This window comes from Homo sapiens, chromosome 16 (genome assembly GCF_000001405.40).
Source record: "Homo sapiens chromosome 16, GRCh38.p14 Primary Assembly".
NCBI classification, from domain to species: domain Eukaryota; kingdom Metazoa; phylum Chordata; class Mammalia; order Primates; family Hominidae; genus Homo; species Homo sapiens.
In genome coordinates, this window is record NC_000016.10 from 20,715,472 (window position 1) to 20,741,897 (window position 26,426).

Here is a 26,426-nt window from a genome sequence, read left to right on the forward strand (position 1 = left end):
CACATGCCTGTAGTTCCAGCTACTCAGACAGCTGAGTGAGGAGGATCAGTTGAACCTGGGATGTGGAGGTTGCAGTGAACCGAGATTACACCACTGCACTCCAGCCTGGGTGACAGAGTGAGACTCCATCTCAAAACAAAACAAAACAAAACAAAAAAAAATCCTCACTGTTTTTACAGTTTCAATGACAATCTCATTCATCATCAAGATGAATTAAAACAGCATCCTTAACCCTGTTCCCTTCAACCAGAGAAATTAAGACTACGATACACCAGTTTCAAAAATCCTTAGATATTGTATCAGTTACCCATCACTGAGTAACAAACCATCCCAGCACTTAGTGGTGTAAACAGTAGTATTTTATTTGCTCATGATTCCATGGGTCAGAAATTCACACAGGGCTCAGCAGGGGCAGCTGGTTTCTGCTCCACATCAGCCTGACTGGGGCTCGAGTATCCAAGGCAGGTTCACCCTCAAGTCAGGCTGGCTGCCAGCTGAAGCACCTTGGTTTTCCTGTACATGGCCTCTCTCTCCAGCAGGACAGTCTAAACATCTTTATATGGTGGCTAAGTTACCCCCCAGGGAAAGTGAAATCTATGAACCTTCTTGAGGCCTAGGCTGAGAAGTTCCAGAACCTGTGCCACAGTGCATTAATCGAAGCAAGTCATGGGACCACCCCAGATTCAAAGAGAGAGGACATATGCTCTGCTCTCCAATGAAGCAATGGCATACAGGGGTGGTTTGTTACTCAGTGATGGGTAACTGATAACAATATCTAAGAATTTTTGTATAGGGATTGTTGGCAGAAAAGCTGGGGCAGGACTGGCTTGTCTGTCATAAAATAAAAGAGTCTTGGAAGATGTCTGGGGTCCAGGGTCTAAAACCCCTCGTGGCCTTTGGAACAGCAAGCTCTGTGCCAAAGGGTGGAAGACTGCCCTGCCACACCACAAATCTAAGCCCATGGCATAAAACTCCTCGTGGCTTGGATGGAACCCAGGGTTCAGGGCATAAAACCCCTTGTGGCCCCTGGAATGTGCACAGACTTGTTGGTTGCTCTCCCAGGCTTATAAACATGCTCTCCATTATCGCAAGCAGCAGAGCATATTCTATATGCATCAAAGAAAATGCTAAACCATTACAGCTACACTTGATGCACTGCTACATTTCTACTCCCACATCCTCACACCCTCACCTGTTTACCCTCACGTCCTCACCACGTGCTTCTTTGTTTGATCACCAATAAATAGTGTGGGCTCCTAGAGCTCAGGGCCTTCGCAGCCTGCATACCAGCGTTGGCCCCCTGGACCCAACTTATGTACTCTTAACCTGTCTTTTCTCATTCCTTTGACTCCGCCGGACTTCGTAGCCCCCACGGCCTGGTATTGGGTCTGATCACCCCAACAGGGATAAAAGGAATCATGGAGCTATCTTTGTAGACAATCTTACACAGAGATTGTTATCAGTTAGAATGTCTTTGGATTTAGTAACCCAAATACAAGCGACTAAAACAATACAAACAAGTTTATTATCTGACAAATGAAAATACACAGGTAAGGTGGACTGAAAGTTGGTGAATTCAGTGGTTCAATGAAATTAACAGGGACCCAAATTTATTCATCTTCCTAACGTGCTACCCTTGGTATGAACCCAACATAGCTATGGTAGCTCCAGACATCCTGTACGTGCACAAAACTCAAAGGCCATAAAACAGGATGGGGCAAGGGAAGAAGGCTGCATCTCTTCCTCATGACTCTTTTCAGAACAAAGAAATATTTCCCATTAAAGCCATATATCTCATTGTCCATACTGCATCATGTGCCTAATCTTAAACCAAAGGAATGACTGTGACTTGCTTAGATTAATCAAGCTCCCCCAGGAGCTATACAGGACAGTCTTACCGGAAGCACTTGATTGCCTGATACCTGAACAAAATCAGTTTTATCAGTGAAAGGAAGAAGAAGAGGACAGCTATTTGATAAGCAACTCATTCTGTCTGCTACAGATGTCGAAGATATTGAACAAGAATTATTTATAAGTTTGATTCAAATATCAAAAGGTGCCAGCTGAAGCACCTTGGTTTTCCTGCACATGGCCTCTTTCTCCATCAGGACAGTCTAAATGTCTTTTAATAATACAAGATGTCCTTTAAATAATAAAAACTCCTGAAACATTAACAGCAATTTACAAAGATTCCATGCTGATTTTTAAAAACTCGTAGATTTTTCTAAAAAGCACTTGGAAAAAAAATCTTACAATAGATAAAATGCATGTCCTTTTGTTATTAATATTGAAAGTTATCTTGGCTATTTATTTAGGCTATAGGGAGATGAAGCTTAAAAAAAGAAGAAGAGGAAGGAAGAAGGAAGAAGAAGGAGGAGGAAGAGGAGGAGAAGGAGAAGAAGGAGAAGGAGAAGGGGAAGAAGGAGAAGGAGGAAAAAAAGAAGAAGAAGGAGGAGAAGGAGAAGGAGAAGAGGAAGAGGAAGAGGAAGAAGAAGAAGAAGAAGAAGAAGAAGAAGAAGAAGAAGAAGAAGAAGAAGAAGAAGAAGAAGAAGAAGAAAAGAAAGAAGAAGAAGAACTGGACTGTTAAATTTTTTAGCAGGGACTGATCTTCCAAGTCCCTCAAGGAGAAGGAAAAGGAGAAGAAGAAGAAGAAAAGAAAAGGAGAAGGAGAAGGAGAACTGTAAAATTTTAGCAGAGACTGATCTTCCAAGTCCCTCTAAGATTTCTTGAGAATCCCTCTCAGGAAAGCTTTGGATTAGGTTCAGTTCTGTTAACTATCTTCTGGTAACAAGAGGGCATAAGTAGCTGAGCAGAAGAAATATCAGAGTTAAACTGGCCATCTTACACCACCATCTTGGGGTCCATCCATATTTTGCAGATCCGCCTCTGAAGAGCACAGCTGTGTGGAAACAGGAAGTCAAGAACCAGTGGCCATTTATTTCACCAGTGGGACGACAGGCTCTCCTAAGATGGCCCAGCACTCTCAGAGCAGCTTCAGCATTGGGTTCACCGTCTGTGGAAGGTAGGGAAGAAAACTCTGGTTTTGGGTTTGAACTCCCCAAAGAGCTGCCAATATGTGTATCCAACTAATCGATACTTCTCCTTGAATTGCTATAAGATATTGCCAATTAATTGCTACCAAACAGAACTTGTGCTGGCCGTGCCCAACCTAGCTTAGTAAATGACACAATCTAACCAGCTGATCAAGCAAGAACTTAAGAATCGACCTTAATTCAGTCCCTTAACAACATGTCTGGCTTCCTTTAATCATTGCTAGGTAAATTTACCTACCCAGAAAGGCCTTCCTAAAAGAGAGACTATCCTAAGTTTTCACGTTACCCTATTTTATTTTCCTAATAGCATTTACACTATTTAAAATAATGATATACTTAATTCACTTCATTGTATATGTATTCGCTGTCACCTAAAATAAGAGCAGAGGTCTGGTCTCTTGCTCACTGCTGTAGAACAGTGCTTAGCACATTTTTACTTAACAAGTATTTGTTGCATCAATGGACAAACTCAAAAAATCATGCCAAACCCAGCCTCCCACTCTACTCTCAGACAACCTAGGATTCTGAAAAGGCCTTTAAGAAGAGTAGAGGTAGAATCTGTCAACTTGCCTGGGGCTTCTTTTGACCCTTCTCTGCAGCCCTTAAGGTTTGGGGGCAAGGTCACTCCTGAAAGATACCAGTTGTTTTTAATTTTTGTTTGTTTATTTTTGGTCTGTTTTGTGGCTTCTTCATATCATTTAGATATTGGCTGGATATCTAAGTCCTCAGATAGCATATGGAATGTGTCTGACACAGGCTGGGTCAAGGCCACCTTTGGCAGTATATTTTCTTCCTGGCTTTATGGAGCCTGTGTTTTTATGCATCAGATGGCACAGTTTGACATTGACACCTTCCTAGATGTAAGTCATGTCCTCCAGCTAGATAGATCTTTAGAGCTCTTCCTTGTCTCCCATAAAATCACAAAGAAATGATACCTCAGAATACCAGGCTTCTTGGGCTTCTGGAAATCATTTCTTTATAAGAAGCAAAGTCTCCAGGGCCTTGGCTTTTGAAATGTGTTTAACAGAGTGGGGCGGGGTGGGGGAAACAACTGCAACACTCTCAGGCAGGAAATCCAGACTTCTGCTTCAAATAGTTCAGGATTTGCTAGTGTCACTGAAACTGTAGCTACTTAAGAATCTGGTTCTAAATAACAGATTAGAAGTCTCAAATCTAAACAAATACTTCATTTCTAATTCAGTGAAACCAAGATAATAGCTGATAAACCATGACTCTTGTGCAGAGCAGAGATTAAAAGTGCGGGCACCTTTGCCCAGAGCAGCTCCTCTTACTCTTCCCCAAGTTGTTAATTCTCAGAACGTAATACTCTTCTGGAAATCAGACATGCATGCCCTGCCTTCTCAACCAGGGACAGCTAGATTGAGATATCAGATAATTCTAATTTCTTTAGCCTTTAGAAAAATGTGATTCAGGCCAATTATTTTCAACCATGACAAATCAATTAAGTTTAAGAAAATACATATTATTACATACAAACTACACCTATGTGTGAATAAAAGCTGTTCACCTGTTATTTTGCTAACTGGCCTGACACGGTGGTTTAAGGCAGAAGTCCCCCAGCCTTTTTGGCGCTAGGGACTGGTTTCATGGAAGACCATTTTTCCATGGTCAAGTGGGAGAGGGAGGGATTCGAGCTCATTACATTTATTGTGTGCTTTATTTCTATTACTATTAAATTGTAATGTATAATGAAATAATTATACAACTTACCATAATGTAGAATCAGTGAAAGCCCTGAGTTTGTTTTCCTGCAACTAGACAGTCCCATCTGGGAGTAATGGGAGATAGTGACAGACTATCAGGCATTAGATTCTCATAAGGAGCCTGCAACCTAGATCTCTCGCATGTACAGTTCACAATAGGGTACGCACTCCTATAAGAATCTAATGCCACCACTGACCTGACAGGAGGCGGAGCTCAGGCCATAATGCAAGTGATGGAGAGTGGCTGTAAATACAAATGAAGCTTTGCACACTAGCCTTGCCACTCACTCCTGCTGTGCAGCCCACCTCCTAACAGGCCATGGACAGGAACCGGTCTGTGGCCTGGGTGTTGGGGATCCCTAGTTTAAGGGCCTTAACATAAATGTAGGCTAACATAAGAACGGAGATCTCCACATCAGGTTTACAAAGTGCCCTAAAGTTGGTAAGTTAACTTTGCAGTTTCAAAACCTACATTTGTAAAATAAGAAGATTTTTATTTTACAAAGATCATGTGTGTATTTCAAGTGCTATAAAAACCTTTATAGATGTATACTATTCTTAGATATATACATTACACTTTATAAAAACAATTAGAATCCATGGAGCAGATACACATGGTAAAAATGCTGACTTACAGATTAAACATTTTTCTTTAACTATGACAATCCAGATAGCCCAGACATCCAATTTGAGCCTCCTCACAAATGCTTAAGTTTAATACAAATTACCAATAAGTTGTCCTATTTAGTGCGAAGAAAATAATATGGGTACTATAGACAGCTGTTAAGAAAGTGGTGAAAGAGTAATAAAAAGGGCTCAGGTGCTGGTGTACAATGTGTTTGCAGCTTTGATGATGAGGTCTTTGGAGTAGAAGCCTGTGAGGAAAGGTATACCTGTAAGTGCGAGATTGCCGATCACAAGGGAGGAGGAAGTGAGGGGCGAGGCTTGAATAATCCTCCTATTTTTCGGATGTCTTGTTCATCATTGAGGCTATGGATGATGGACCTAGAACATATGAATAGTATAGCTTTAAAAAAGGCATGTGTGCAGATGTGAATAAATGCTAGGTGTGGTTGATTAATGCCAATTGTGACTATTATAAATTCTAGTTGACTTGAGGTGGAGAATGCTATGATTTTTTTTTGATATCGTTTTGTGTTAGGGTGCAGATTGCTGTAAATAGGGTAGTAATAGCCCTGAGACATAATGTAAGGGTTTAGATTGATAAATTACTTTTTATTAAAGAGTGGAAGAGGATGAGTAGAAAAACTCCTGCTACAACTGTAGTGCTGGAGCAGAGTAGGGCTGAGACTGGGGTTGCACCTTCTATGACAGAGGGAAGTCAGGGGTGGAGGCTCAATTTGGCTGACTTTCCTACTGCCTCTAAGAGAAGGCTAACCAGTGGGAGGGAGTTGGGGGTAGGATTTAGAATAAATATTTGTTGAAATTCTTGTGTTGGAGGACAGGAGGAATCATGCCATAGCTAGAATAAAGTCAGTATCACTGATACGATTGTACAGGACTGCTTGAGGGTTGCTGCATTAGTATCAGCTCAGCTGTATCGTCAGCTGATTAGTAGGAAAGATATAATTCCTACACCCTCTCATTCAATGAAGAGCTGAAAGAGGTTGTTGGCAGTAACCAGAATGAGTACTGTTATTGATAAGGAAAATAACTAAATATTTGAAAAAGTGATTGATGTTACGGTCTGAGTTTATATGTCATATTGAGAATTCTATAATAGATCAGGTAACAAATAGTGCTACTGGGATAAATATTGTAGAAAAGTAGTCTAGTTTAAAGCTTAGTGAGGGTTTAAGGGTCTGGATCCTCATTCAATGTCAGTTTGAGACAATGACTTCTTGGTCTGTACACATAAATGTTGTGGGGATAAGGCTGATGATAAAGGGACATGTGAGAGATGATTTTACATAATTGGGGTATGAGCCTTTTTTAAATGTGCTGGTTAAGGTAACAATAATTGGTAAGATTAAGGGGACTAGGGCTGTTGTGATAGTGGAAGAATGCATGTTTGTTACTTTTATTTGGAGTTGCAACAATGTTTTTGGTTCCTAAGACCAACTGATGACTCTTATCCTTTAAAAGTTGAGAAAGCCATGTTATTAAACATGGTGGCATGAGTTAGCAGTTCTAGCACACTTTTAAGGGACATAGTGGAACTTCTCCAGAAGGAGGAGCTCTAAAACATTAGTATTTCTCTAGATTTAAGATGTCTAGGCCATTATCTTATGGAAGAATAATGAGCCCAGCAAATGTTTAAAAATTAAGAAAAAACCTAAAAAGTGCTGATTTCTGCATTTACTCAACTTACTCAAAAAACTGATATATTTCATAGAAATAGAAGTGGAAAGGTTCCAGTAGTTTAACTTATACATCCATAATCAATACTATACATGAATACGTGGGCAAGAGGTTACAAGATTCCACCATGAAAGGTAACTTGCAGCCCTGAGGAAGAATAAACCAGTTCATACTTTGGGTTGTTCTCAAATTCACTTGCTGAATTCAATTCTGTAGGTTTGTTACTGTAAGATTAATATATATACATTCCTTCCAGCAATTGGAAATTCCCAACAGACATACAGTCATTAGTGACAAGTAATAAATATTTGTTTTCTTTTTATTAGTATTATTATTATACTTTAAGTTTTAGGGTACATGTGCACAACGTGCAGGTTTGTTACATATGTATACATGTGCCATGTTGCTGTGCTGCACCCATTAACTCGTCATTTAGCATTAGGTATGTCTCCTAATGCTATCCCTCCCCCACCCCACAACAGGCCCCAGTGTGTGATGTTCCCCTTCCTGTGTCCAAGTGTTCTCATTGTTCAATTCCCACCTATGAGTAAGAACATGCGGTGTTTGGTTTTTTGTCCTTGCGATAGTTTGCTCAGAATGATGGTTTCCAGCTTCATCTATGTCCCTACAAAGGACATGAACTCATCATTTTTTATGGCTGCATAGCATTCCACGGTGTATATGTGCCACATTTTCTTAATCCAGTCTATCATTGTTGGACATTTGGGTTGGTTCCAAGTCTTTGCTATTGTGAATAGTGCCACAATAAACATACGTGTGCATGTGTCTTTATAGCAGCATGATTTATAATCCTTTGGGTATATACCCAGTAATGGGATGGCTGGGTCAAACAGTATTTCTAGTTCTAGATCCCTGAGGAATCGCCACACTGACTTCCACAATGGTTGAACTAGTTTACAGTCCCACCAACAGTGTAAAAGTGTTCCTATTTCTCCACATCCTCTCCAGCACCTGTTGTTTCCTGACTTTTTAATGATTGCCATTCTAACTGGTGTGAGATGGTATCTCATTGTGGTTTTGATTTGCAGTTCTCTGATGGCCAGTGATGATGAGCATTTTTTCATGTGTTTTTTGGCTGCATAAATGTCTTCTTTTGAGAAGTGTCTGTTCATATCCTTCACCTGCTTTTTGATGGGGTTGTTTTTTTCTTGTAAATTTGTTGGAGTTCACTGTAGATTCTGGATATTAGCCCTTTGTCAAATGAGTAGGTTGCAAAAATTTTCTCCCATTCTGTAGGTTGCCTGTTCACTCTGATGGTGGTTTCTTTTGCTGTGCAGAAGCTCTTTAGTTTAATTAGATCCCATTTGTCAATGTTGGCTTTTGTTGCCATTGCTTTTGGTGTTTTAGATATGAAGTCCTTGCCCATGCCTATGTCCTGAATGGTAATGCCTAGGTTTTCTTCTAGGGCTTTTATGGTTTTAGGTCTAACATGTAAGTCTTTAATCCATCTCGAATTAATTTTTGTATAAGGTGTAAGGAAGGGATCCAGTTTCAGCTTTCTACATATGGCTAGCCAGTTTTCCCAGCACCATTTATTAAATAGGGAATCCTTTCCCCATTGCTTGTTTTTGTCAGGTTTGTCAAAGATCAGGTAGTTGTAGATATTCATCCCTGGGATGCAAGGCTGGTTCAACATACGAAAATCAATAAACATAATCCAGCATATAAACAGAACCAATGACAAAAATCACATGATTATCTCAATAGATGCAGAAAAGGCCTTTGACAAAATTCAACACCCTTCATGCTAAAAACTCTCAATAAATTAGGTATTGATGGGACATATCTCAAAATAATAAGAGCTATCTATGACAAACCCACAGCCAATATCATACTGAATGGACAAAAACTGGAAGCATTCCCTTTGAAAACTGGCACAAGACAGGGATGCCCTCTCTTACCACTCCTATTCAACATAGCGTTGGAAGTTCTGGCCAGGGCAATCAGGCAGGAGAAGGAAATAAAGGGCATTCAATTAGGAAAAGAAGAAGTCAAATTGTCCCTGTTTGCAGATGACATGATTGTGTATCTAGAAAACCCCATCGTCTCAGCCCAAAATCTCCTTAAGCTGATAAGCAACTTCAGCAAAGTCTCAGGATACAAAATCAATGTGCAAAAATCACAAGCATTCTTATACACCAATAACAGACAAACAGAGAGCCAAATCATGAGTGAACTCCCATTCACAATTGCTTCAAAGAGAATAAACTTACAAGGGAATCCAACTTACAAGGGATGTGAAGGACCTCTTCAAGGAGAACTACAAACCACTGCTCAAGGAAATAAAAGAGGATACAAACAAATGGAAGAACATTCCATGCTCATGGGTAGGAAGAAACAATATCGTGAAAATGGCCATACTGCCCAAGGTAATGTATAGATTCAATGCCATCCCCATCAAGCTACCAATGACTTTCTTCACAGAATTGGAAAAAACAACTTTAAAGTTTATATGGAACCAAAAAAGAGCCCGCATTGCCAAGTCAATCCTAAGCCAAAAGAACAAAGCTGCAGGCATCACGCTACCTGACTTCAAACTATGCTACAAGGCTACAGTAACCAAAACAGCATGGTACTGGTACCAAAACAGAGATATAGACCAATGGAACAGAACAGAGCCCTCAGAAATAAATATTTGTTTTCTTATTCCTAGTAGTGACCACGGGATGGGCACATGTTAATGGAAGGGAATGACAGGGTGTAGATATCAGCTCCAGTCATAGCCTTTCATTGACCGCTTCTGACTTCTGTGTCTTTCTCCATCATCCAGACACTTACCACTTATCCCATCACAACCCTGTGCAGCCCTCCCACCATGTACTGGATGCTTCTACAAAAAGACCTTAAGAGGTACTTGGGCAGAAATTTCCACTTGAACCACAAATGATAGCTACCATCCAGCATCACAGATCTCCCTTTTTCAGCACAGGGCAGCCCAGACTTTCTGAGTCTTACCACTACTGACATTTTGAACCAATAATTCTGTGTCATCGAGGGGGCTGTCATATGCATTACAGGATATTGAGCAGCATCCCAAGACTCTACTCGATGCCAGTAGCACCTCCTCCCCACCATCTGCGACAATCAAAAATGTCCCTAGGCTGGGCACAGTGGCTCACACCTGTAATCCCGACACTTTGGAAGCTGAGGCGGGCAGATCACCTGAGGTCAGGAGTTCAAGACCAGCCTGGCCAACATGGCAAAACCCTGTCTCTACTAAAAATACAAACATTAGCCAGGCGTGGTGGCACACAACGTGTAATCCCAGCCTCTTTGGAGGCTGAGGCAGGAGAATCGCTTGAACCCGGAAGGTGGAGGTTGCAGTGAGCCAAGATCGCGCCACTGCACTTCCAGCCTGGGCAACAGCGCAAGACTCCATTTCCAAAAAAAAAAAGTCCCTAGACACTGCCTAATGTCTCCTGGGGGGCAAAATTGTCCCCTAGTCTACAAACCACCGGAATATCCTCTAGGACAACTGGACATTTTTCCAGGAACAACCAGAGCTCTATAGTCCCCGAACTCCCCCTCAAAAAATTTATCCTCTAGTACTACTTTTTAGAAACACTGTCATTTAGAACCAGCCCTCAAAAAAGAAAGAAAAGCATATTTATACTGCCTTGAAGAGAAGCTAACAAAGTTTGACTTGAAGGTTATATTCAGTTTAGCCAAACTACATGAACATCCAGTAGAGTTACAATGTATATTTGTTTAATTCAAACTCAATACATGAGGAGAGAAAGGAAGAGAGGAGCAATTTAAGAAGTGCAGGCTTGTCCATCCTCTTTTGCCAACAAAGTGTGGATGCCCAAGAGGGAAAGTGCTATGCAAGACAGAATAATGCAAATACAAATCTTCTCTTTCCCTAGTCAGTGTCAACGCCTTTGGTCCTATGTGAGCATCTTGCTCACATTTCAATAGTAATTCAGGGACTATTCAACGATTATTCTGAATGCATATGATTTGTATTCTACCCACATCCTCTGGTTCATTTGGGGCCTCAGTGTTTGAGAAGCAAGCTGTTCTAGGCTTTCTCACCTGTCTTCAGTAACGCCAGTGGTTAAAAGCTAAGCTCAAAATCAAACAGGCAGGGCCCTACTACTTACTAATAGTGTGGCCTTGGACACTCAAGATATCCTTACTAAGCCTCCATCAACTCCATCTATAAGAGAGGATTAAGAGCCACCTCACAAGGCTGTGGTGAGAATTTAATGTAAGTGACTTGCTTGGTGAGATCACCTTGACAAGTGGGAGGTGCCTGGTACAGAGTATCATGAGTATCAACTCAGCCCTTTATTATTTGGAAGGCCTTGGGCAAGTTCTTTAAACTCTCTGAGCCTCAATGTCCTCATGTGTAAAGTAGGGGTTGAGAGGAGTCTAAGAATGCTTCTAAAGCCCTTATAACCTAGCAACTGCTCAATCAGTATTAGCTGTTATATCATGTGGCTTGTAATAAGCACTTAGTATCATTAATAGCATTTTCTCCCACCTTTTAACATCTTTAATAGCTAAGTTCTCCTCCATCTGCTAAAATGTAAGCTGTCAGAAATTTTTGTTATAATCACTAATGTGCCCCATATGCCTAGAACAATGTCTAACAATACAGTAGGTGTTCAACAAGTTTTTGTTGAATGAACTTTCCTAAGACTTGCCTCTCCTAGCTTCTATGCTTGCTGCTTGAATGTCCTAATTATCTTGCAGGGAAAGCACTCAGGTTCCTCTCAAAAAGGCCCCATGCAACTCTGTCTCTCCAGATATAAATTCAAGAGGCTGCGGCACTGCTTGACAGGAGGGGAGGCCCTCACCCCGGAGGTGCTGGAGCAGTGGAGGGCACAAACTGGGCTGGAGCTACATGAGAGCTATGGACAGACGGAAGTGGTATATTTAAAGGGCAACATTTATGTTTAGTATATTTGGGGGCCTTTCTGCCCCAGGATTTTCAACCTGAGCCCCTGAAGTGCCTCCATCCCACTCTAAATTTTTACAGTTTCCCAGTATACCTCATCTTGCCAGTAGTTACCAAAACTTGCAAACTGCTCAGTTAGGTTTTGCTAAAGGGGTGATGATTATTATTCCATCATTCCTGCCTCCCCCTCATGCAGGAGAAATCTCAGGGGCTTTAGCAGGTGGGTGAGGCTCAGAACTGAGCAGCTCATCTCTCCAACTGTGCTGGGAAGAATCATCTGAGAGCCTCTGTGGGGAATTTATTCCAGGGTGCACTTAATGGAGTCTAAGGAGTAGTTTTCAAAGTGACCAGTGGTCCCCAAACCAGCAACATCAGCATCATCTGGGAATTTGGTAGAAATGCAAATTCTTGGACTCCACTCCACACCTAATGCATTAGAAACTCTGGGATGAGGCCCATAAATCTGTGTTTCAACAATGCTCCAGAATCTCCAATTTGATTCTAAAGCACACCCATGTTTGAGAACTACTGGTCTCAAATAGTATATTTCAGAAGGTGTGCTTAAATACTGGGAAAATCAGTCCAAACTGAATCTTAAGTTTCATTGTCATGATATAGTTTCAGAAAATGAATTTTTGTCTACTTATGCAAAGTTTGTCCTCTCAATGGGAATAATTTGTGCCAATCAGAAAGGACAAAAAATTAAACCAGGCTCAATGGGGAAAGAATGCTTCACTATGATGTCCAGGTAGGTTGAGAAAATATCTGACCGGTTCAATAAAGCAGAAAGAACGTTTTACAGTTTTCTGCTATTCACTGTACAACTATTTACAACCTGCTTTCATTTTGTGAAAAGAAAATTTTAAGAAAATCAATTGTTTCTTTCATTCTAGATTATAGATGAAAATGGCAATGTTCTACCACCTGGCAAAGAAGGGGAAATTGCCCTCAGACTAAAGTCTACACAGCCCTTCTGTTTCTTCTCTGAATATGTGATATGAGGATAGAAAGTGCTAGTCATGTCTTAATACAGACTTTGGTCCAAATTTCATTTCCACCATGTCTTGCTATGTAACCTCAGGCAAGCAACAAAATCTATTTCATCAGCAGTAAAATGCAGAGACTATCACCTATCACCTGAGTACTATAAAGATGAAATTCCAAATGTAACAAACTGGTTGCAGTGGTTATCCTCAGAAAGGAAAACTGGACAGGGTAGGATGGGGGTGCAGTTGGGGGGTGCTAGAGGTGGAAGAGGGGCTTTTTATTATACTATTTGGGACCTTTTATATCTTATACTAGGAACTACCTTTTTTAAAAAATTAATTTCCAGCCAGGGACAGTGGCTCATACTGTAATTGCAACATTTTGGGAGGCTGAGGTGGGAGGGTGGCTTGGGCCCAAGAGTTCAAGACCAGCCTGGGAAACATAGTGAGACCCCGTCTCTACAAAAACATAAAACAATTAGCCAGGTGTGGTGGCACATGCCTGTGGTCCCAGCTATCCAGAAGGCTGAGGCGACAGGATTGCTACAGCCTGGGAGGTCAAGGCTGCAGTGAGCTATGATCAAGCCAATGCAGTCCAGCATGGGCAACAGAAAGAGACTCTGTCTCAAAATATAAAATAAATAATTTCCTTTAGAAGTACAATTTGTAATGTACTTGTCACTTAATGAGTGTTATACCCATTTCTGTTCTGACCAAACTAATCCCCAAATGTCATCTTTGATTCCTAGGACAGTCCAGAGAAAACTGCTGCCACGGTAAGGGGAGATTTTTATGTCACTGGAGACAGAGGAATGATGGACAGTGATGGGTATTTCTGGTTTGTCGGCAGAGCTGATGATGTCATTATTTCCTCTGGGTTTGTAGATTTGCCACTCTTAAGAGGCAAGGATTGACAGGGGGGGAGCTCTCCTACTGGAGGATGTGGTGGTCAAAGGCTTCTTTTCCTTTTCAGGTACCGTATTGGGCCATTTGAAGTGGAGAGTGTGCTTGCTGAGCATCCAGCAGTTGTCAAATCAGCTGTTGTCAGTAGTCCATATCCAATTTGTGGAGAGGTAGATGAATATCATTAATTAAAGTAGCAACTTTATATTTTTGAGTTCTGTCCATTTGACCATGGTAAAGGCTGAACCAAAAGTGGTCATTTAATTCTCACTATGAGGCATGCATTTGGCCAAAATATAAACCAGGCAACCAACTTTACAATAAGTCGTGTCCCAAAGGGGAGCTATTAGGATTCTTTTGAAGGCAAGTGACAGAAACTCAACTCAAACTGCCTTAAGTTAAAAAAAAAAAAAAGACATTTGGCTCATATAAATGACAAGTATTCAAGTACAGCCACATCCAAGGGTTCATGTAAGGTTGGCAAGTCTTAGTCTCTCTCCATTTTTGGCTCTGCTGTTCTTTATGCTGGCTCCATTTGAGCAGGTTCTTCCTATTTGATAGCAATCAACTCCAGACTTACACAGGTTAACAATCCTCCACCCCTCCAGGAAAGGACAGAGCTCTCTTTTCAGTCATTTCAAGTAACTCTCAGGACTGCATTTGCCTACCTTAGATCACATCTCTCACCAATGTGGTTCAGGGAATGATATATGCTGATCGGCCAGACTTGGATCATATGTCTATCATTGGAGGTAGGGGTTGGTGTCAATCCCACCAGAGAGGATAGGGTAATACTCTATAGGAAAAACTACAGTAGCTACTAAAAAGGGGGAACAGATACTGCATAAGCATATGCAGATTTCACTGAATAGGCAGCAGATTTCACTGAATGGACAACTGTCATGGAACTCAGAATACATTTTCTCACAGAAACAAGGCAGATAGAAAATTGTGGCCAGTTTCCCAAACAAGTCTCATGAGCCTGTTTAGGACCAATGGGAAGGAAACTCTGGCAATGACAATAATAGTCTTAATTCTAGGAAGAAGCCCAATTTTCCTAATTTCCTTTCCTCATGGAAGTTTCCTACAGACACAGCAAGTGACAAAATTTCAAAAGTTTGTCTCTCAGCATCCTCCCACATCTGTACCTCCCTCTCACACACCAGTGAGCCTCTGCAGTGACACTATGGGTCCCCTACTCTTACCTCTTATACCCCCTCCACTCCCATTTATTCCATTCTCAGAAATAGTTTCCTCCTGCTGCCATGTTCTCATCCTCTCAATATAAATGATTTCAGCTGAAGAGCAGAAGTAACCACCAATTAGAATCAATGAATAATATAAATTATGCTTACTAACCTCAGTAATTATCTAATTGGTAGGTTTTAAACAGTATTACAAAGAGAAGCAAACAATATGAGGCAAAAAACGACCTTATAGAGATAGATCAATCTTTCCTGAGAGTTTTTTGTTTCATTTTGTTTTGTTTTGAGATGGAGACTTGCTGTCACCCAGGCAAAAAGCAGGAGTGCAGTGGTGCAGTTATAGCTCACTGCAACCTCAAACTGCTGGGTTCAAGCATCCTCCCGCCTCAGCCTCCTGAGTCGCTAGGACTACACATGTGCATTATCGTGCCCTGGCTAATTTTTTCTTTTTAGTCTTTATAGAGATGGGGTCTCACTATGTTGACCAGGCTGGTTTCAAACTCCTGAGCTTAAACTATCCTTCTACCTTGGCCTCCCAATGTTGTGGGATTATAGGTGTAAGCCACTACACTCAGCCCCTTCCTGAGATTTGATCTCCCAGGATACACAGTCCTTCCTCCATTGAGACTCTTCAAACTCCCTTGAAACCACATATTCTCTGGGAGCTCCATTTGTCCCCCTGGTACATGCTTCTAGTGGTATAGATTCGAAGGAGTAAGTGGTCATCTATAAAGCAAAGACTGCCTGTGAAATAAATGGGATCACTCTGAAATGTTAAATACATGTGTGACCTGTAAATAGAACTTAGCTTTCTTGAACCGCTGCACTCCTCATACTCACAAACCATTTACCTGGAATTATTCTCAAAACCTCACTTTGTAATTGTATCCAAGCTTTGTTCAGAAGCAATCTCTGGCATTTGCAGTCATCACTCAAACTGCTATTAACAAACAGTAAGTACCTATGTTCAGCATTGGTTGCAGATCCTTGATGTGTCTGAAAAACAGAGCAAGATAAATTATCTGTTGCAGGTGGTGAAAGCTTTTGTTGTCTTAGCTCCATCCTGTAAGTCCTACAGCCTAGAGAAATTAACTCTTGAGCTTCAGGATCATGTGAAAAAAATCAACTGCACCTTACAAATATCCAAGAAAGTAAGTATTTTGTCCAAAAGTTAAGTTTGGATGTTACCAAACTAAGACCTAAGCTAAAATGTAGATTTTACTGGATTTTGACTTTATAGTAGCTCATTATATAGGTAGAGGGCACCTTTGTTTAGCCCTAAGAACTTGAAAATGTTTTGTTAGAACAGTATAAATGCATTATAAACTAGAGCCTTTAATCAACTCTGCAATACTGAATCACTACTAAGATTCTTTCTAGAAATAATTTGTCCCATTCTGTATAAGAAAAGCACAGTGGCCAAGAATGGCCAACTGCCTTGTTTTTAGGGACAGCACTTGACTCATCTATCCTAGGACTCTTGGCCCTAATACCCATATAAATTCAAAGAACATACCTGTATGTATCAAGGGACCCCATTAATATTCAGAAAGAATACCCAAAGAAACCATGAAATCTTTCCTGAAACTTTCATCAAATAAGGATTTAAGAAAAATACTATATAAAGACATGAAGATGGCCCTGTAGTTTCCTTCTAACCATGGAATTGGTTGATACTGACTGATCCTCTGCATGAAATTTCTGTTTTAGTTAGCATCATTTCAGTCAAAAGGTAGTAAATTTCAACCTAAGAACTATTCAACAATTTCTCCATTACATTCACTAAATTAATGAACTTTTGACTTTCAGAAAGGCTATTTGAGGACATTTTAAAATACAGTAGTCGTCTTATTTTGACAGAAGAGAATAAAAAGAGGATTTTTATGGTCAAGTCAGGGCAGAAAACTGTATATATTCCAAATTATGCCTAAAAAATCTTCTCCAATCTCCAGGGTCCAGCTCTGCAAAGACAAGAACTAAGTGTTCTTTTTGCATTTAGGTGAAGTCTCCACTTTCTAGAACAGTAGAGACCTAGGACTAGTTTGAACTAGGGGAAAGCAATGGGGTAAAGGGATTATTACTTTCTTGTGGCAAAGCATTTAAGTGAATTTGCACTAAAAACCCCCAAGATGGAGCTACACTGTCACCCTTCCTGTACAAACAGAACAGTTTCTGGTGTCTATGAGATTCAATAAGCTTAGGCTAAGATAATCTAGACTTTAAAATTCAGTCTCAGAGTTTCATGCAAGCTCTCTCCTATTGCACTGACAATTGGAAAAACGGAATCAAATGTCTCATAACGTTTTTCCGTCAATTAGGTGGAATTTGTTCAAGAACTCCCAAAGACAATCATTGGGAGAATCAAACACGTTTTAAGAGACCAAGAATAGGGACGAACATAGCTTGATAAAAAAGCTGAAGGGTTAAGTAGTAATATGATTGCTTTCTCGATTTGTTCCTGATAATTCAGTGACTACTCTCTTAAAATGTTTAAGATCCTTCCTGGTTTAAGTTTTTGTTTTCTACTTAGCTAAAAAATTAAAAAGTAAATAAAAGTCTAAAAATATATGGATGAAAATTGTTTCAATAACCAAACTGACAAAGGTAATGATGGTTTCTAGTGTTTAAAATTGCAGGAGTCAAATGATTACTTAGAAAAAGAAAGTGCACAATGAATCTGTATTTCATCTATCTTGTGCCTGATTAATTCAAAATAAAGATATATCCTAAATGTTCAAGACAATTTCTTCTACTTAACAACTTTATGAGACCAAACTTCAATATATTAAAATACTGTTAAAATGAGTATAAATAATTCAAAAATCAGTAAGTGAATTTAATGAAAGTAAGTACTGTATTACTATGGCTCATTTTGAAGCAAATTAACTGTAAAATATCTGAAACTTGGATTTAGAAGTATTAATTATTCAAGGGTAATAATTTTTTAATGTTTTTTAGGCTCATGTCCATGGCATTTTATAATTTGACATATAAACATATTTTATGATATATATATACTATAAAGCAAGAGATTTACTAAGAGTCAGAAAGAAAGAAAAAATATTAGAACACCAATTTTTAGGGAACAAATTTATTTTGATTTTTCTGAAAATATCAGGAACTATGAAAAAACAAGCTCGATTTCTGGCCGTACCAAAAGCAAAATACAAGTAAAAATAACATTTGAAAACCAAGTTTAACCTCAGAGAATCATGTTTTAAAATACAAAGTTTAACATTCTTTCCTCTATGGAGCTAAACAAGTTTTCTAAACCATAAGACTGCAGTTTTTTTATTTTTTTAACTGACGTAATTTTTTAAAAGAAAAAACAAAAGGGGAATAAAAAGCACTTCCTACCCTGGAATCCCGTCATTTATAAAATAACATGCTCAAATGTCAGTGAAAATAAACAGTTGATAAACCTGAAAACAAGTCTTTTAATGAGTTCAGGTTACAACCGAACACAGGATTTTGTAACTGGGAAAGAACAGCTTGTGTAACAACCGATTCTTACCAAATACAAATAAATATAAAAGACAATTTAAAAACAAACTGTATAATCAAAATCTTTCCGTAAAATAGCAGCTTTCACAAAGTAAAAACAATTTAGTTCCACAGAGTTGTATGCTCTGTAGGCATATGGCCAATTTTCTTCCGAGTCCTTTTGTCTTGCACTATCAAAATAGAATCTTTGTCTTGGAGCAAGTCTGCTGAAGAAGGCACCAAAATCCTATCCTCCCTATTCCCCTAACTGATATTAATAATCCTCTTATCAATCATTGCAAGGTAACTTCAATGTCATTAAGTATTAACATTCTAAATATGTAAAGCTATAGAAGGAAGGTCCTGCCTATTCTCTTTGCCCCTCTCAAATCATTCTAGTCTGGTTTACCAAACAGAACCACCAGCTAGGAGGATAAAAATACATTCCCATGTTCACTAGCCATTAAATGAACATAGCCACTTGTGCAGGAAGCCTAACATTTTTAGGATTTCCTAACTTTTTAAAACTTAAGGATAAGTCCATTTCTACAAGCTAATTTTACAGCTCCTTAATATTCTTAATCTGGACAGTTAATTTTGCAGACTTTGTTGGTGTCTGCCTTTTCAATTGTTTTACCCAAAAAGAGGCCTTGAAAAAACTTTCAAATTCAGGAAACCCCTAAACCCCTGCAGAGAACCCTCATGGTATGTGAGTGTGAGCACTAAGTTGAAGAATACTCTTATTTCACAGAAATCTAGGACTGTCAGACTAGGGCTGAGTTCATTCTCTTCCTTCAGAGACAAAATTTCAAGCTGAGCAGATTCAGAGACAAGGGTTCCTCATAGGTTATATACTAGTGCTGGGAAAAGGAGAGAAAATGCTATTTCATTGGGTCTTGTGGTTCCTCCAGCCGGGTTAGAACAAGATTTGAGAGTTGCACCCTTTATTTTCAAGGCCAAGTGGCTGCAGAAACATTTCAAGAATTCCTCTGGCAAGGTGGCAAGTCAGTTTCCTTTTAGATCTAAGAGTCTTGTCGCTTTAAGAAAAATTTTTTTCCCCAGAACCTTTCAGAGACTTGTCCATTTGTTCATGTGATGAAAAACGTCTGCAAAATAGGCTACTTTCTGTAGTCATTTTTCATTTCCAAAGCACTCAGCAAAAGCTGGCTGTTTTATTGTAAGTACTCTGGCAATTCACCTTTCAATTCAAATATCCTGTAGAGAACGCTTCCTCTGAGAAGCCACTGGATGTCTGTATGGTGCAGGAGGTTTATGTGCTGTCTGTCCAGGTTTTTGTTTTGGGTGTTTTTTTTTTTTTTTAACATTTTTGCATAAATGGGTCTTTGATACAGGTAACCAGTTTTGTAACATTATTCAGAACTTCACTGTATCTTCAAGTTTTTGATATCAGCATCTCTGTGGAGAAAGCAGTGTGCTATAATGTCAACATCAGGATTTCTTTTTTTTTTTTTAATAACGCAAAATGACTTATGGAGACAACCACTGATGGGGCACCAGGAGTGTAGATACCAGACCTCTGGTTATCAGATATGATGTCACAACATTATATATTGGCCTTTGTTCTGGCAGGCTCCTAGCAATAGAAAAAGTTTTCTTTGAATTTCATCATTTACAAATCTTACAAATGCTACAGCATGACAAATATTAGTGAAACCTGTTGACTCATCATCCTGGATAGAGAAGCTGCTACTTTTCAGTTAATGACACAAAACCTTTTTTGCATCATATGACATATCATCAGTAAATCAACTTATTGAGAATAAAGTCTCTTCAACTTTGTACTGCATCTTGCCCCAGCATTTTAATGTTATTAGATTCTCACCAACCATGCATATTTTCCTTTCCTGAGATAAGTTCTGCTACTAAATAATTTGCTTCTTAAACCTTTTGACTAAAGGTGATTTCTGAACAAAAGCCTTACTGTTTTTGATAGTCCAAAAGCCATTTGAAAATAATGAATATCCTTTCTTGTCAAGTGGCTGTGATTTATTGTTACAATTGCTAGTTTTGTAAGTTGCATGTCACAGACAATGCACAATGGGACAGGAGAGCTTGGACTGAGTCCACATAATACCCTTGAGAAGTAGCTTTCTTTATTAAGACAGAATTTCTTTGTGTCCCTTGTTGCACTAGTATACTGAAGTATACTCAGAAGACTGAAGTTCTTCATCACCAACCTTTTCAGAAATGTCTGTAGTTCTATGCCTAAAATGGTTCTCGTCTCTCTCACATCTTGCCTTCCAAAATTGCGACACTGGACTGTCAGCTATATTACACACAAATGTTAAAAAAAAAAAAAAAAAACAGACATAAACAAGAAAATCACAAAAGTACAAAAACTTCACTAAACAATTCACTTCTAACCTACATGATCCACATTTTTGCAATGTTTACAACAAAGTGGCAGGCAGACAGCTGAGCTGTGGCATGTAAAAACTCCTTCCTTAGAATGAAAACTTCCCTCTGATTTTCTACTTCACAGGTAGTTCACTCCCTTAAGTCAGCTGGCACTGCAGAAGAGGAGCCTGGGAGAGGCCAACATCCCCCTCCTATCCTCCCCTCTTTGCAACAGCAGCACATGGGTCTGCCTCTACGTAATACCATAAAGGCTGAAAGATCCCTAAAAAAACTGTTAACAGGGCTGCGCAATCATTGCTCACTACTGTGAGAACAGCATAATGCAGCACACAAATAAAAAACTGTTTTTAGTCACAATTTAAGGTGGAGCCCCAGCAACATCTCGTAGAGCCCCAGGTGAGAAACCCACCTCCAACACCAAATGACTTCCTATGAGAAGTCATTTTCATTTGACTTGGATCCTTCTGTGGCTTGACTTGCAAGTTCAGGTTTGGCTCCTCCCTCATTTACCACCTGTGGATTAGACGTTGGTTTTGTCTGCCCCAGCTCCTCAGTATTCTCTGGTACCTGCTGGTTATTTTTTCCTTCTGCTGTGTTGTTTTGGTCTGATTTGTCCGCAGATTCCAGTTTAGCTTCTTTCCCATTTCCCTGCTTTGAGTTAAGCTGTGACGGATCCTTAGGGCTCTTCACCACCTCCTGGAGATTGTATTTTCTAAACAACATGTAATCTTTCACAACACTCAGGCAACAGACAGCTTTGATGATTTCTACTACCACTGTGTACTGTGGATTGGTGAGATCCACTTTATTTTCTGAATTGAGGGTGCACACTATTCCTGTAACAAAAACAGAAAAACACATAGCTGAGGAGGATACCATTACATCTGATAGATACAAAAAATCTTTTGTCTCTGTTTCTTGTTAAAACAAGACATACAGTAATCCACTCTTCTATGTGGACTTCAAATAATCTGAACCCTTACAATAAATAAACACAAATGAAACCCTACAACATTTAATAAGAATTTTTTTCCAAACAAAATTCAATTTCGAGTTAAAAAAGACTTTTATCTAACTACCAGAAAATCTCATATCCGACATATTGAAATCAGTTGATTTAATACTATTTTAAGAACATTTTAATATATTTGTTCTACACTCAAAAATGTAAGCCTTAAATCTTTAAAAAGAAAAAAATCCTTAAAAAACAAGTATTTACCATTGAATGCCTATGGAAAATCACTAAGAGAAACATACCTGCCAATTCTCTGATAACTTCTTCTCTATTCACATGACTGTTATTTCGAGATTTGTACACAATCTGAAATGTCCCTTTGTTTGGAGCTTTAAACCAGGGTTCCAAAAATGTTTCTGCATATTTTTTCATATCTTCTAAAAAAGCCTTGCATGTGCCTGAGATGGGTAACATTCGCAAAATAACTCGAGTCTTCTTTTTCTTGGTTTTGTACATATCCTGGAGAATATGATGCACCAATTTCTCAGGCTCTTAAGAAAAAAAAAAAGTTAAGAAGATAATTTCTCAGACATCTTAAAGATCGAACTCTAAAATGAATTTTCACTGGCAATGACATAAGTTGACAGAAGAAATTCTCATAATGAATTTTAAATGAATCTACCTAGTCATTCTTTCCAAACAGTATTTCTTCAGTGCCTAATACGTACTATAATGTATCTAATATATTTTAACTTTTCATCATTATTACTGCTTGCACTAGAAATGACTGTTTAGGTAGACACCGTTGTTAACATTTTTGTGATGTCCTGAGTTATCCAACCGTAACACCATGCTGTTGTTTTCCTGTAACAACAGAGTACATTAAACAGTACACACTTTTTTACAAAAAAAAAAAAAAAAAATTCTGTGAGTCACTTTAAAAGATGTAATTAATCCATTAGCTAAGTTAGCACACAAGTCTAAATCTCAGACCCAAGAGGAATCCCAGAACCATGCTGGGCACAACATCATGAAAGGGAGGTCCTCAGGCTGCAACTTGCCTACATACAAGTATATTTGGGGCTGCTCCGAAAATTTGTAAATTAGTTGACCACACTGAAAAACAAAAAAACTCCAGATTTCAAACTTCTTTTGAGAAATTCAAATACCTGGCCCTGCATTCCCAAAGAGCAACAACTGGCTGGAGCTGAGTAGCAGCTGCCCCTTATTTACACAGAACTGGCACTCTAGTTCTGCCTTAAGTTATATACGAAGGAAGCAGCAAAGCCAGGTTTCCACTCATAAGCCAATGCTACGTCCACCACCCCATTCTACCTCTCCACAGGCCAACTGCTAATACAGTGTACAGAAGCTGCCATCAAATGATTAACTGAGTCATGCCCAAGAAGCCATTTTGTAAGCAGTATTCCCTGAGACAGGAAGATACCCAGATGTTATGAGATCGATAATCTTAGCAAGTATTTGTCACACCTATCCCAAGTGTCCTGATGAAGACAACGTTATTTGCTCCACTTTCCACTGACTGGAATCTTCTTAACCTCATCTCTGTAGATGCCTTAATGTCACCAACTTCTTTCTTCAAGGCAGCCTCCGCATCATCATCCTCTCCCTCACTTCCAGAGGGCTGCTGATCCTTGTCTGTAAACTGTTTGCATAAAACTAATGAGCAGAAATGACACAACAGCTCACATTTAAACACTATAAGTAATTATTTATGTGAAGTCCCTGGCGGCAGGTGGCTCAGTATTGATTTTTTTTTTTTTTCTAAAGATGGAGTCTCGCTTTGCCTCCCAGGCTGGAGTGCAGTGGTGCGATCTTGACTTGCTGCAACCTCCGCCTCCTGGGTTCAACCAATTTTCCTGCCTCAGCCTCCCAAGTAGCTGTGATTACAGGCGCATGCCACTACACACAGCTAATTTTTGTATTTTTAGTAGAGATGGGGTTTCGCCATGTTGGTCAGGCTGGTCTTAAACTCCTCAGGTGATCCACTCGCCTCAGCCTCCCAAAGTGCTGGGATTACAGGTGTGAGCTACCATGCCCAGCTGACTCAGTATTGATAATAAAGCTTTTTTTACGAAGCTGGGACACCACACCCTTCAAAACGTGGAGCAAGGCCGGAAGTGGTGGCTCATGCCCATAATCCCAGCACTCTGGGAGGCAGAGGCAAGCAGATCACCTGAGGTCAGAAGTTCGAGACCAGCCTAGCCAACATGGTGAAACCTTGTCTCTACTAAAAATACAAAAATTAGCCCGATGTGGTGGCAGACGCCTGTAATCCCAGCTACTCAGGAGGCTGAGGCAGGAGAATCGCTTGAACCCAGAAGGCAGATATTGCAGTGAGCTGAGATTGCACCACTGCACTCCAGCCTGGGTGACAGAGCAAGACTCTGTCTCAAAAAAATTAAAAAAAAAAAAAAAATGTGGAGGAAGAGGGAATTCCCGCAGACTATAGAATGTAAAATTTGAAAATGTTTTCAAAAGCATCCTGACAGTTTGAGGCAGAGAGAAACGTGCTGACCAGATCAATCATTTTAGGGTGGACCTTAACACGTTGACCAGGTATCTGTGTGCCTCACACGACACTGTCCTTTTGGTGAGATTAGACCAAATACCTGTGGAATTAAAAACCCTTACTCTTGTTCTATTAAGGAACAAGGCACAGAAATACATTGTTCAATAATTTTGGCCAAGCATGGTGGCTCATGCCTGTAATCCCAGTACTTTAGGGGGCAGAGGTGGGCGGATCCCTTGAGCCTAGGAATTTGACACCAGCCTGGACAACATGGCCTGAGAACCCGTCTCTACAAAAAATACAAAAAATTAGTCGGGCATGGTGGCACATGCCTGCAGTCCCTGCTACTCGGGGACTGAGGCAGGAGGACTGCTTCAGCCCCGGAGGTGGAAGTTGCAGTGAGCAAGAGCATGCCACTGTACTCCAACCTCCACCTTGGGTGACAGAGCAAGACCGCTTCCAAAAAAAGAATTTGCTTAAAGTACAGGAGTAGACAGGATATGTGCTTGTTGCCCAGCTCTCTGCCCCCTAGTGCCCAACGAAATTGCCAGTCAGGCACAATAATAATTGTATACATTTACAGAAACTTTATTACATACCAGTATGTATTTTATGTACATAAGCAACTCACTAGCCAGTCTTAAAGTATTCTCTTTTTTATCTAGCTCAGCAGCATCAAATAATGTGCCCATGTCCGAGTCCCCAAGCTAGTAGAGGATGAGCCGTGAATTTAAATTCCCTCTGTATTACCCTTCTTCATTTAATCCCTCAGTGTGCGTGTGTGTATTGGTCCAGATTCTAAGCCAGTAATATGATTTCCAAACACTAAGACTTTAGGTGATATTGGTAAAAGTTTTTACGTTCTAAAATGTATTTTAAGTGCAGTAACTAGCATTAGTAGTAAACCTATTATTTCAGAAATATTATTGCTTCAGGTAAACACATTATTACTCCAACTTCACGAGGCTGTCATGAAAAATGTGTTTCTGAAAGAGCTTCAGCACACCGCCTGGCCCTCAATGAGCAATCCTTAAGTGGGAGGTAGGCCGGGCTCAGTGGCTCGCGCCTGTAATCTCAGCACCTTGAGAGGCAGAGACGGGAGGATCGCTTGAGTGTAGGGTTTAGGACTACCCTGGGCCAAACAGTGAGACCCCTTATCTACAATTTACAAAACTTAGCCGAGAGTGGTGGCGCGCACTCATAGTCCCAGCTACTCTGGAGGCTGAGACAGGAGAAGTCGAGGCTTCCCTGAGCTATCATCACGCCACTGCACTCCAGCCTCGGCAACAGAGCGAGACCCTGTCTCACAAAAATAAAAATAAAAGTAATGGGAGCTACCGTGGTTACTGATGGCAAGAAAAGGTGCAAGCACTTCAAGCACAAAACCGATAGCACCGAAGTCTGCGAGCGTCTCAGGACTAGGGACGGAAACGCCGGCGAGGCCACGCCCCTACAGCCGTCACGCCGACGACCCGAGGCGCGCATGCCCATACCAGCAGCCATCCCTCCACCCTTCCCTCCTCCCGCAAGGCCTGGCAGCCGGCCCGCCCGCCCACCCCGGGACCGGTACCTTTTCTGGCCCATACATGTCGTCGCCGTATTCGTTGAGGAGGCTGTAGGCCTCCTCCACGCACTTGCGCTCGTTCATATTGCAGGTGATGAGGATGCCCTGTAGCCCGGGCTCTAGCTGACGGGGCCCGCCAGCGTCGCAGCGCCGAGCGCGCTTGGCCAGCACATACTGAGCCTTGCCTTTGCGCTTCCCGCCGCCAGGCTGAGTAGTCTGCTGGGCAGGGGCCGCCATGGTGTGCGCAAACTGAGAGGAAAGAGAAACGTTTCTCCGCTGCTGTTGGCGTCCTCGTCTATCGCCGGCGCGAACTGGTGACGTCGGATATGAGCGACGGCCTCCCCTAGCCGGCCTCGAAGCCTCATTCCGTGCTGCGCCAGGTCCTAAGGCCGGTC

General features: G+C 40.5%; 2 protein-coding genes and 2 pseudogenes across 25 annotated transcripts in view, besides 4 other annotated features; 2 read left to right on the forward strand and 2 right to left on the reverse strand.

The window, feature by feature from the left end:
• The window catches only part of LOC124903661 (NADH-ubiquinone oxidoreductase chain 5-like), a 21,663-nt pseudogene extending 14,283 nt beyond the window's left edge, over positions 1 to 7,380 (reverse strand).
• LOC100887080 (acyl-CoA synthetase medium chain family member 4 pseudogene) overlaps positions 1 to 17,519 on the forward strand; it is a 21,565-nt pseudogene extending 4,046 nt beyond the window's left edge.
• Positions 1 to 26,426, forward strand: part of ACSM3 (acyl-CoA synthetase medium chain family member 3) — a 123,177-nt gene that overhangs the window by 41,067 nt on the left and 55,684 nt on the right. For 5 of the 23 annotated variants that reach the window (XM_047434427.1, XM_024450368.2, XM_047434428.1 and 2 more), the window contains 2 exons: positions 2,879 to 3,022; positions 13,759 to 16,268. The exons of 7 other annotated variants lie outside the window; for them this stretch is intronic. The gene's annotated coding sequence lies outside the window, so the exon portion shown is untranslated. The remainder of the gene's footprint in view (positions 1 to 2,878; positions 3,023 to 13,758; positions 16,269 to 26,426) is intronic. 11 more of the 23 variants (XM_047434435.1, XM_047434421.1, XM_047434424.1 and 8 more) reach the window with 8 other exon arrangements.
• THUMPD1 (THUMP domain 1 NAT10 acetyltransferase adaptor) lies at positions 18,193 to 26,347 on the reverse strand. 2 transcript variants are annotated; one of them, NM_001304550.2, is made up of 5 exons: positions 26,038 to 26,347; positions 23,426 to 23,600; positions 22,237 to 22,485; positions 21,389 to 21,815; positions 18,193 to 20,887 (listed from the first exon to the last, which is right to left on the reverse strand). In NM_001304550.2, the coding sequence occupies exons 1-4, from the start codon at positions 26,266 to 26,268 to the stop codon at positions 21,409 to 21,411; spliced, it is 1,062 nt and encodes a 353-aa protein (NP_001291479.1). In that variant the 5' UTR covers positions 26,269 to 26,347; the 3' UTR covers positions 18,193 to 20,887; positions 21,389 to 21,408. The 2 variants fall into 2 exon arrangements, with proteins under 2 accessions (NP_001291479.1, NP_060206.2); NM_017736.5 differs by having other exon boundaries at positions 18,193 to 21,815.
• Positions 25,533 to 25,622: an enhancer, noted in NCBI's record as "active region_10535". NCBI's record gives its function as "activates an Ori minimal core promoter by ATAC-STARR-seq in GM12878 lymphoblastoid cells {active_cell/tissue: GM12878}" and the evidence as "EXISTENCE:reporter gene assay evidence [ECO:0000049][PMID:35858748]".
• Positions 25,653 to 25,792: an enhancer, noted in NCBI's record as "active region_10536". NCBI's record gives its function as "activates an Ori minimal core promoter by ATAC-STARR-seq in GM12878 lymphoblastoid cells {active_cell/tissue: GM12878}" and the evidence as "EXISTENCE:reporter gene assay evidence [ECO:0000049][PMID:35858748]".
• Positions 26,093 to 26,142: an enhancer, noted in NCBI's record as "active region_10537". NCBI's record gives its function as "activates an Ori minimal core promoter by ATAC-STARR-seq in GM12878 lymphoblastoid cells {active_cell/tissue: GM12878}" and the evidence as "EXISTENCE:reporter gene assay evidence [ECO:0000049][PMID:35858748]".
• Positions 26,153 to 26,422: an enhancer, noted in NCBI's record as "active region_10538". NCBI's record gives its function as "activates an Ori minimal core promoter by ATAC-STARR-seq in GM12878 lymphoblastoid cells {active_cell/tissue: GM12878}" and the evidence as "EXISTENCE:reporter gene assay evidence [ECO:0000049][PMID:35858748]".